At 38.0% G+C, this 12,185-nt stretch overlaps 1 protein-coding gene and 1 long non-coding RNA gene across 11 annotated transcripts in view; one reads left to right on the top strand and one right to left on the bottom strand.

The window, feature by feature from the left end:
• The window catches only part of BCAS3 (BCAS3 microtubule associated cell migration factor), a 714,981-nt gene that overhangs the window by 343,497 nt on the left and 359,299 nt on the right, over window positions 1–12,185 (bottom strand). For all 8 annotated transcript variants that reach the window (NM_001353144.2, NM_001353145.2, NM_001330413.2 and 5 more), the window contains 2 exons: window positions 11,281–11,446; window positions 8,443–8,543 (listed from right to left, as the gene is read on the bottom strand). In NM_001353144.2, coding sequence (NP_001340073.1) covers window positions 8,443–8,543; window positions 11,281–11,446 — 267 coding nt within the window. The remainder of the gene's footprint in view (window positions 1–8,442; window positions 8,544–11,280; window positions 11,447–12,185) is intronic.
• BCAS3-AS1 (BCAS3 antisense RNA 1) overlaps window positions 1–12,185 on the top strand; it is a 101,500-nt gene that overhangs the window by 86,678 nt on the left and 2,637 nt on the right. The window lies entirely within an intron of this gene.

The following is a 12,185-nucleotide window of genomic DNA, read 5'->3' as shown; positions in this document are numbered from 1 at the left end:
TGCAATTTATTTATTGATTTTATTATTATTATTTGAGAAAAGGTCTTGCTCTGTTGCCCAGGCTGGAGTGCAGTGACAGAATCATGGTTCACTGCAGCCTTGACTTCCTGGCCTCAAGCAATGTTCCCACCTCAGCCTCCTGAGTACCTGGGATTAAGGGTATGCACCACCATACCTGGCTAATTTTTCAAATGTTTTCTTTAGAGTCAGGGTCTCACTCTATTTCTAGGCAGGTATTGAACTCCTGACCTCAAGCAATCCTTCCACTTTGGCATCCCAAAGTGCTGGGATTACTTTTCTGCAATTTATAATCTATCTTCAGTCTTATGCAATGAAGCTTTCTCCTCACACACTGTGGTTTTCACACCTAGGAGTTTTTTATATTTAGATCTAAGTAATTGAGAAGTCTACTTAACTTTTTGAACATATGGAATACAGTCATAGTAACTGTTAGTGTCACTAGTCCTGACTCTGTGTGACCATTGTGCCCTCTAAGACACTCAGATGGTTGTTTCCTAGGCTGCAGTTTCCTCAGAGGCACCAGTATTCTGTTGAATACTGGAAAAGGACCCTCTGCAGTCTTCAGCATTTTTTCTCTGTGAAGATCTCCCCTGATATCCCATCCAACAAACTCTAGGTGAGGGTTTGAAAATAGTAAATATTTTGGGCTTTGTGGGTCATATGGTCTCAGTTACTGTTACTCAACTCAGTGATTATAGCTTAAAAGTGGCCACAGACAAGATAAAAATGAAACAGTGTGGCTGTGTTCCAGTAAAACTTTATTTACAATAAAAGCACATGGTAATTTGCCGACACCCGCTCTTCTTTGGTCTTACTGGACTCTCAGCTCTGTCTCCTCAACTGAGGGAGTTCCCTGGGTTTCACTTGCTTTCTCCCTTACTGTAACACAGCCTAGAAACTCCAAAGACGATAAACTAAGGCAAGTGCAGGGCTTGTCTCATTTGTTTCCCATCTCTCAGGGATCATTGTCCTTCATTCCCTAATGTCAGATGACTTGAAAACAATTGTTTCATATATGATTTCTGTTTCTGTTGTTGCTACATGCAGGAAAGTAAAACTGACCCCTGTTAGTCCATCTTGTTGGGAAGCTACTACTCAACTGGAACCTCAAGAAATAGTCAATGAAACTGAGAGAACACTAAATCTCCCCAAAATTTGAGATCAAATTGAAACATATAAAATATTTTCTCCATCTTTCTCATATTCCTTTTAAAGTTAGAAGAAACCAAGTATACACCCAATAATACACAGGGAAGTACTATGGACCCCAGTCACCTTTCTATTGTATATCTAAGCTATATTTCTATTGAATGAATGTATATTTCTATTACAAATAAAACTCAGTAAGTTTACAGAGGAACTTTTCACACATCACAGCCTGATTTAGAAAGAAGTCCAAACTCTGAAACCCACTCTGCCACAAAGCTAGTTAATGTCAGCAACTTAAAAACACTGTTGCTGCCAAATTACCTGAAAGAAAGGAGGAAACATTATTTTTCCCTTAAATAAGGCTTTCCTAAGGCAACTCAGTAAGCTCTGTTTTTAATTTACAAATTGGAAGCTCTACAGCAGACTGAAGAAAAAGTTATTGTCTATTTTGGGATCATATTCAAAGCTGGTTGGTATTTACTGATATGTTCTATGGTTTATCTTTGTTTTTGGCAAAGGAATACACTGAAATATAATGCCTGTGTTGGAAGGCAATATAGTATGTAATTTTTATTTTAAAGGGAGTAAATACAGTGCTAACACAGAAATCACTAATGACCTCTGCTGTCATCTTTTTATAAACTATTCCCAAAATTTCTTTGACCAAGGCAAAAACATCTTTTGGATTATAAATTCTTGACTTTTACTTTTACTGAGTTAAACAGAAAAATTAGATTACCATCTATATATTTAGTTGGCATATATAAATTAATCTGTGAAACTGCTGAAATATCAGACTTTTAAAAAACTTATTAAAAATGCCAATTTCATATCGTTCCACCTAATAACAGAGAAGTCATCTGTGCCTCTACAGTGACCTCTGTATGGAACATTCTAGTATGATCTAATTTACAATACACCAAAATTCCTCAATTTGGGGTATCAATTTGTGATACAGCAAAATTCTTCAATAAAAATAAAAATTCATTAATTTTGGTCATTCCATTCAATTAATATAGGTAGGAAATGTTACTATAATTTAAGAATACAGGATCTGGAGTTTTTACTTACTTTATATTAAGGTTACATAAGAAGTGTTTAGTGTTTAGGGCTGGTTCCCCCTTCCTTCCACCACAAGCCACCCTTTTTGCCACATATACAGAACTTGTTTATTAACTAGCAGTGTATTTATTATGATTACTGGGCTGGAAGGGGAGTGGAGATTCCTTGCTAAACATCCTGCTCTCCTACTCTCTTCTCACTGAGACAAAGTCTCTTTCCCATTTCCATTTACATCATTCTTTGTCTACTATTATTATAATTTCCGGAGTTTGTACAAGTCTGCTTCACTTGATCCACAGATCCAAACACACACAAAAAAAATGCTTGCAACATTTGTGAAGTTTGTATTAGAGTTTACCAAAAAGTTATACAGTCAGCCTTCCATATCCCTGGTTCCGCATCTATGGGTTCAACCAACCACAGGCTGAAAATATTCTGTGAAAAAAAAAAGGATGGTTGCGTCTCTACCGAACATGTCTAGACTTTTTTCTTGTCATGATTCCCAAACAATACAGTGTTAACAACTATTTATATAGCACTTACATTGTATTAGGTATTATAAGTAATCTAAAGATGACTTGAAGCATACAGGGGGATGTGCGTGGGTCATATGCAAATATAGTACCAGCATCAGGGACTTGAGCATCTGTGGATTTTGGTATCTGAGGGAGGTTCTGGAACCAATTTCCCATGACACCAAGGAATGACTATATTTGAAAATTCTTTGAGAATAATATTTATTAAAGTCTTCAAGTTGGGAAATAGGTGATTTCCAATATAGTTAAGGAAAACAAAAAACTTTCTGGCACCAGGTATGATATATTTGTGTTTTAAAAGGTATAATATCCTTACAAATGGCTTCAGTAAGGGAAATCTGGGAGAAAGCAAGAGAGTAATAAAGTCCGCTTAATGGCTCTAACTTGCAGAAAGGGTGCAACAGATGGGTGGGCATTCTCTTGAAACTGGCGCCAGTATTGCTTTTATTTTACTTTATATATATATATATTATATATATATATAAATATATATATATTATATATATATAATATATATATTATATATATATAAATATATATATAATATATATATAAATATATATATTATATATATATAAATATATATATAATATATATATATTATATATATATTTATATATATAATATATATATTTATATATATTATATATATAAATATATATTTATATATATTATATATATAATATATATTTATATATATTTATATATATATATATAGAGAGAGAGAGAGAGAGAGAGAGAGAAAGAGAGATGAAGTCTCACTCACTCTGTTGCCCAGGCAGGAGTGCAGTAGTGCAGTCTCAGCTCACTGCAACCTCCAACTCCTGAGTTCAAGCGATTCTCCTCCCTCAGCCTTCCGAGTAGCTGGAATTACAGGTGCGCGCCACCACACCTGGCTAAATTTTGTATTTTTAGTAGAGATGGGGTTTCGTCATGTTGGCCAGGCTGATATCAAACTCCTGGCTTCAAGCGATCCCCCCGCCTCGGCCTTCCAAAAGTGCTGGGATTACAGGCATGAGCCACTGCGCCTAGCCTTTTTTTTTTTTTCTTTCTTAAGAGACAGAATCTTGCTCTGTCACCCAGGCTAGAGTGCTGTGGTGTAATCACAGCCCACTGTAACCTCAAATTGCTGGGCTCAAGTGATCCTCCTACCTCAGCCTGCTGAGCAACTGGGACTACAGGTGCATATCACCATGTTCAGCTAATTTTTATAATGTTTTTGTAGAGACAGGGTCTCTCTATGTTGCCCAGGATGGTCTTGAACTTCTGGCCACAAACAATCTTCCCACCTTGGCCTTCCAAAGTACCAGGATTACAGGCATGAGCCACCATGCCCAGGCCAGGTAGTCCACTGTAAATGCAGAATACAAAAAAGGTTTTGTAAATTGTACCAAAAGTCCCAGAAGTCTATCATTTGAAAATATATTCTTCTGAGGTAAGAAACAAAAGCTTATAATAATAATGCTCAAATGTATAAACTATTTTACAGTTTTAAAAAGGACTTTATGCTGGGCACAGTGGCTCATGCCTGTAATTCCAGCACTTTGGGAGGCAGAGACGGGGTGGATCACAAGGTCAGGAGATCAAGACCGTCTTGGCCAACCTGGTGAAACCCCATCTCTACTAAAATACAAAAAATTAGCCAGGTGTGGTGGCGTGTGCCTGTAATCACAGCCACTTGGGAGGGGAATTGCGTGAACCCAGGGAGCAGAGGTTGTGGTGAGCTGAGATGGTGCTACTGCACTCCAGCCTGGCAACAGAGCAAGACTCCATCTCAAAAAAAAAAAAAAGGACTTTAGCATCATTTCACTGATCATCATAACATCTCTATAAGAGCAAGTATAATAATTGATATCTACATTTATCAAGTTATTGCTGGATTTAGAACTAGAACCCAGGTCTTTTCATCTTTATCCCAATATTAGTCCACCTGGAACTCAAAAGGTCTAAAATGAAATGCATTATACAATAAGTCCTCATTTAACATCATTGATAAGTTCATGGAAACTGTGACTTTAAGTGAAATGAAGTATTACAAAACCCATTTTACCACTGACTGATATAAACAAGAGTTAAGTTCTTATGGCATATATATATATATTTTTTTTTTTTTTTTTTTTGAGACAGAGTCACGCTCTGTCACCCAGGCTGGAGTGCAGTGGTGCAATCTCGGCTCACTGTGAGCTCCGCCTCCCAGGCTCACGCCATTCTCCTGCCTCAGCCTCCCGAGTTGCTGGGACTACAGGCGCCCGCCACCACGCCCAGCTAATTTTTTGTATTTTTAGTAGAGACAGTGTTTCACCGTGTTAGCCAGGATGGTCTCGATCTCCTGAACTCGTGATCTGCCGGCCTTGGTCTCCGAAAGTGCTGGGATTACAGGCCTGAGCCACCGCGCCCCCACCTCTTAAGGCATATTTTTTTTTCTGGTCAAAAACATCAGTAAACTTCTGAATAAAGACCCCAAATGCTTTAATATTAAACATCAAAATAAATGTGAGCTATACATACATTTAAGAAAGATTAATGAAAACAAGTAATATGATTATTTACTCATTTTCTAGCGAATCACTGAGTAGTGGAGCTTGAAGTGCTGGTGAGTTAAATCAAGGAATAAATGTTTGCAAAGTGAAAATTTTAATGAGCACCTCCTACAACCACGAAGTTAAAAAACAGATAATAACCAATATGCTGGGCTTGCTGAGCACTTTCATATAGCAACATTTATTGTTGTGCATTTCTGTGATTTACCATATATTTTAAGAAGTTTTATTTTACAATAATTTGTATTCATTCATTCAGAGTTGTGGGTGGACAGAGCCTATATCCTGGCAGCTCAGGGTGCAAGGCAGGACCCGATCCTAGACAAGACACCATTCGATTGCAGGGCACTCTCGCACACACAGGCCCGTATTTACTCAGCCTGGGACACAATGTAGCCATGCCAATTAACCTAACATGCATACCTTTGGTATCAGGGAGAAAACCTGTGTACCCACTGAAAACCCACACAGACATGGGGAGAACGTGACAACTCCACACAGGCAATGGCCCCAGGCAGGGAGCGATTATTTTTTCTCATCAGCCTTATAAAGAATTGATGTTAAACAAAATGACATCATTCAAGGACCTGCTGTATTCCATATGAGAAACCACAGAATCATTAGTAACTACTTAGTTTCAAATTGTCCCTCTCTTTTTTGAGACAGAGTTTCACTTTGTCACCCAGGCTGGAGTGCAGTGACACCATCTCAGCTCACTCCAACCTTCACCTCCCAGGTTCAAGCAATTCTCATGCCTCAGCCTCTTGAGTAGCTGGGAGTACAGGTGCACGCCACCACACCTGGGTGATTTTTTTGTGTGTTTTAGTAGAGATGGGGTTTCACTATGTTGCCGAGGCTGGTCTCAAACTCCTGAGCTCAGACGATCTGCCTACCTCGGTCTCCCAAAGTGCTAGGATTACAGGCGTGAGCCACTGTGCCCAGCCTCTAATTCTTTTCTATGCCAACTATTAAACATCTCACAGGTCTGTCCTGTCTTCTCTGTAATACAGCATTAATTTAAGGTCTCATCTTGCTCTAGGATCACCTAGCCTCCACTCCCTTCCTCTGAATTTCCTGCTGCAGTGCTGCCAGAGTGATCTTTCTTTCTTTCTTTTTTTTTTTTTTTTTTTTTTTTGTGAGATGGAGTCTTGCTCTGTTGCCTAGGCTGGAATGCAAGGGCGTGATCTTGGCTCACTGCAACCTCCACCTCCCGGGTTCAAGTCACCCTCCTGCCTCAGCCTCCCAGGTAGCTGGGATTACAGGCATGCACCACCACACCCGGCTAATTTTTTCGTATTTTTAGTAGAGATGGGGTTTCACCATGATGGCCAGGCTGGTCTCAAACTCCTGACCTCAAGTGATCCTCCCGCTTCAGCCTCTCAAAGTGCTGGGATTACAGACGTGAGCCACTGCGCCCAGCCCAGAATGATCTTTCTAAAATACAATTTTGATGGTGTCATTCCTATGCTTGAAAACATGTAATGGCTTACTACTGCCAACAGTGGTGGTTCTTAAATTATGCACCTGGGGATTTTTGTTGTTCTGAGCATTAGACAAAGGTGTTTAGGGCAGCTAAAATCAAGCAGAGTGTAATGTCAATAAGGTCAATCACTGGAACAAAAAACAATTAAGAGATAGATATAGCTATATCTTTTCCCCTATGTGTTTTATAAATATTTCAGACTTGTTATAGTATGTCTATTAAATAGACTTAATAGGTATCAAAATAACAACACAAAACACAATATTAACTCTGAAAGAGTCAACTATGCTTAATTCAACAATTAGTTTTGCTCCTTGAGAGGTAATGGAAAATGTACTCATGATTCTTATTTCATATCATATTCATGTCATGTATTTTTCCAGTTCATATGATAGTTAAATATATGCTTAAAAAATCTAGAAACTAACAACTTCTATATGCACTGCTTCTTGAATCAACCCGAAAACCACTTACATATCACCCGTCTGTGATGCCATAGGCAACACACGTCACTGCTCTCACAGTTCAATTTATAACCCTCCACTGACACACCTACCCCACTTTATTTTACTTTTTTATTAAATGTCTATCTCCTGAATTAGGGAATTCATTGAGGAGAGAAGCAATATACTAATCACCTTTAAATCAGAACTGCCTCACACATAGTAGGCACTCAATAAAAATGCCCTAGAAAAAGCAGAGAGTTCAACAATAATATGAGAGAGCAAGACTGCCAACTATTGATTACAGTTATAGAGTTTCATAACTTGAGAGCAAAGTCTATAAAATATTTCTGTTTCCAGTATAATATATAGCACATTATAAAGATAAAATAAAATCATTCGACAACTATTTTAATTCATGCTTTCTAATATACCGGGCAAGACAATGTGTTAAATACAACAAAGTTTCATTAAAAACATGTCAATGTTGATTTTTAAGAATTTTCTTTAAAGCGTGCACTACTCAGAGCCATCAAATTAAATTAAGGATTCTGTCTATATCTACAAAACTGAATTATAATTGTAAATAATTTTTAATTCTATAAACGCAAACTGGATAATAAATACTAAATTGCCTTTAAATGACTCCCATATAAAAAGCTGTTATCTAGGTCAATGAACTTGGTTCAGTCTCTACAAATGCTCACGCTTAAACATATAAGTAAACAAACAAATTAACAAATGTAGTTGAAATCTTTACCTCATTATTGCAAGTAAAATTCTACCAAAAGAAAAGCCTGCTGGCATTGTTTTCATAGTTGCACTTTTAACTGTGCTAAGTTTTGGGGTTTTTTTTTTTCCATGTTAGAAACAGATTCCAAGCTTTATGAAACTTTTTATTATATCCTAGCATTTTCAGGTGGTGGTTTTTATGTTTGTTTGAATTTTTGAGCCCTCCAGATATTCCCTATCAACTTAACTTTTATTACAGAAATATATTTCATAGGTAAAGAATATAAGCAGTCAGAGACATAATGTATACTAAGGCTTACAGTTTATATTCATATTAAATATCTTATTTGCCTCAAACTGATTCTTTAAGGCCCATGGCCTATGGACCAGTGGTAATGTTTGCTTTCAAAGCTAGCATTTTAAGATGAAATCTGAATAGACCATACGAAAGGAAAAAAAAAATCTGAACTACTTACGGCCAGCAAGCAGGAACTGATAATACTGTACTGCATCTGCAGCGAGGAGCAGAGGGTGGTTTGCATTAAACGGTGGCTGCAATTCATTCCATTGAGGGGTTCTAAGGAAACAGGAGAAGAATATTAATATTTAAGCTTAATAGATGGGATGTAAATCACCATGACTGTCATCACTTATGAACAGTGACTTAAACTCACACTACTTTTGTGATCATTAAAATGAACTTGTAATCATTAAAATGAATGTGATGAAACCTGAAACACAAGGCCATCTGCTTAGAAAAAATAAAAAGGTGGCAGTCTTTCATACAAATAACATGCAGTCAATATAAGCTTAACAGCAGAAGACCCTCCAACAGGATAGGCAAGACATTCAGAAGATTAAACAGGTGTAAAATTCAAATGTTACAACTAACTAGTTCTAATTTATGTAATTTCTGACCTCTCTATTCTTAAAATATGTGTATATTTTAAAATAAAATGAAGTAGGTAAAAATGGTTAATAAAACACAGCTGTGTAAATGGATGACTTATTATAGATCAAATTAGCATCTGAGTTCTGAAATAAGTTACTATTTCAACAATGATAGTGTAGTAACTTTAATTAGATCTGCCCACTCCTAAATAAGCTTGATAAATCAGATATTGATCAGATCAATCCAGCATAGTAAAGTAGTAGTAAAGAATGCTGGAGCCTCCAAAAATCAATACAAGAATATTTTAAAATGTCAAAAGGACAGGGATCATTTTCATATCCATTTTTGTCTGTTTCCTTCCATACATGTCAGGAGCAATTTTTTCTTTCCTGGACAATGAACTATATTAAAGAGGTTTTATTCCAGGTTTTTTTTCCTTTTGGTTATAGCTTATAAAGATTCTAATCATTATGCACGTTTGAGATGGACTCTGATTCTTAATAAACATTCCTATAAGGCTTAACCACTGTATCTTGGAGAATTACTTTCAGAGAAACCTTTGAATCTATCTATATTAGTTTCTATTCCCCTTAATGGCTATCTCAATGTTACTCTCTATTTTCGGTGAGCATGAGATTGCAAATAGAGGAAGCATAAATCCAAGAAAATTTAACACAGAAGTGCAAGGGGGAAATAAGTTCAAACAGAGGTATTCTCCAAGGTACATACAGAAGACAATTAAAAAAATATGTTCATGGGCCGGCGCGGTGGCTCACGCCTGTAATCCCAGCACTTTGGGAGGCCGAGGTGGGTGGATCATGAGGTCAGGAGATCAAGACCATCCTGACTAACACAGTGAAACCCTGTCTCTAGTAAAAATACAAAAAATTAGCTGGCGTGGTGGCTAGTGCCTGTAGTCCCAGCTACTCAGGAGGCTGAGGTAGGAGAATGGTGTGAACCTGGGAGGTGGAGCTTGCAGTGAGCCGAGATCACGCCACTGCACTCCAGCCTAGGTGACAGAGCAAGACTCCATCTCAGGAAAAAAAAAAAATGTTCACACAAGAATCTGTACATGAATGTTCACAGCAACATTATTTAATAACAGCTTAAAAAGTAGAAATATCCATCAACTAATAAATGGATAAACAAAATGCAGTATAACCATATAATGGAGTATTATGTAGCCATAAAAAGGAGTGAAATTCTGACACACGCTACAACATGGATAGATCTTGAAAATATGCTAAGTGAAAGAAGCCAGACACAAAAGGTCACATATTATATGATTCCACTTACATGAAATGATCAGAGTAGCAAAATCCATAGAGAAAGAAAGTAAACTGGCTGCTGCCTAGGTCTGAAGGGTTGGAGAAAAATAAGGAGTGACTGCTAATGAGTATGAGGTTTCTTTTTAGGGTGATGAGAACTGATTGCAGTGATAAGTGCACAACTTTGTGAAAAGTCACTTTTAATGGGTTAATTTTATTGTATGTAAATTATGTCAAATGAAAAAGTAATGAAAGGCCAGGTGCTCATCCCTATAAAACCAGCACTTTGGGAGGCCAAGGCGAGTGGATCACCTGAGGTCAAGAGTATGAGACCAACCTTGACAACATGGTGAAACCCTATCTCTACTAAAAATTAGCCAGATGGGATGGCAGGCGCCTGTGGTCCCAGCTACTCAGGAGGCTGAGGCAGGAGAACCGCTTGAACACGGGAGGTGGAGGCTGCAGTGAGCTGAGATCGTGCCACTGCCCTCCAGCCTGGGCAACAGAGCGAGACTGTCTCCAAAAAAAAAAAAAAAAAAACAAAAACAAAAACAAAACAAAAAAAAGGAATGAAGTATTGTTTGTTTTGCTAGATGAAAGTGAGATTTAAGAAATTACATACTATATGATTCCATTTATATAAAATTCTAGAAACTGGGCCAGCACGGTTGCTCACGCCTGTAATTCCAGCACTTTGGGAGGCTGAGGCGGGCAGATCACGAGGTCAGGAGATCGAGACCATCCTGGCCAACATGGTGAAACTCCGTCTCTAATAAAAATACAAAAAAATTAGCTAGGTGTGGTGGCGTGTGCCTGTAGTCCCAGCTACTCAAGTGGCTGAGGCAGGAGAATCGCTTGAGCTGAGATCGCGCCACTGCACTCCAGCCTGGGTGACAGAGTGAGACTCCGTCTCAAAAAAAAAAAAAAAAAAATTCTAGAAACTGTAAACTAATCTGTAGAGACAAAGGGGGTGAAAGAAGGAGAGATTACAAAGGGTCACCAAGAAACATTTGAGAGTGATGTATTTGTTTACCATGTTAATTGTGGTGATGATTTCGTAGCTGTATGCATGTCAAAACTTATCAAATTATACGCTTTTAATCTTCTATACCTTAATGAAGCTGTTAAAAAGAAAAAAAGAAAAGAGGTACTACCTAACCAGAGTCCAGCTGGCTCGAGGCGATGTCATCATTTCCAGTGGTGTGTCGTCACTAATCTTGGGTGCAGTGCTGAGGGGTCGCGGCTCCATCATGTGTTCCACTAAGGTGCCATAGCAACTGATAATGTACAGGGACTCAACTACAACTTGTTTGGACTGATCTACAAACAGAGAAACAGAACCCGATGTGTTATGATGGCATAAATGGAGCACAGAATAATTTTTACAAGTTAATGATCTTATTAGTCTGCTCCTGAGGCTGCTCAGAGAAAATGAAAAGACAGGAATTTTTTTCTTTTTTTCTTTTTTTTGGAGATGGAGTTTTGCTCTTGCTGCCCAGGCTGCCGCCTCCCTGGTTCAAATGGTTCTCCCGCCTCAGCCTCTTGAGTAGCTGGGATTACAGGCTCCTGTCACCACACCCGGCTAATTTTTGTATTTTTAGTAGAGATAGGGTTTCGCCGTGTTGGTCAGGCTGGTCTCGAACTCCTGACCTCAGGTGATCTGTGCACCTTAGCCTCTCAAAGTGCTGGGATTAAAGGCGTGAGCCACCATGCTCAGACGACAGGAATTTTTTCATATGGTGCTTGTTCCTTGCCTAAAGGTTGCCTCGTATAAGCACATGCTAGTGAATATGAAAATGTCTATGATATCAGAGTATTTTCAATCTTAAGCAACTTACTTCAAGAATGATACTACTATGCCCCAAATCCTAATATAGTAAAATCCTTCATAGACTTTTGTACTTGTCTACAATGTAATTTGTCCCACATTATGAAAAATGAATGATATCAGGAAATGGACTAACTGAAAAGGAATAATGTATGGACTAGGATTTAGTTACCCTGCATGTACCAAATGACTTGCATGAAAGGTTAGTTGTATGCCTAAATCAGCCTAATG

The sequence above is a fragment of the Homo sapiens genome, chromosome 17 (genome assembly GCF_000001405.40).
Source record: "Homo sapiens chromosome 17, GRCh38.p14 Primary Assembly".
Classification (NCBI taxonomy): domain Eukaryota; kingdom Metazoa; phylum Chordata; class Mammalia; order Primates; family Hominidae; genus Homo; species Homo sapiens.
Note: the sequence above shows the minus strand (reverse complement) of the source record. Positions and strands in the feature narration are given on the sequence as shown.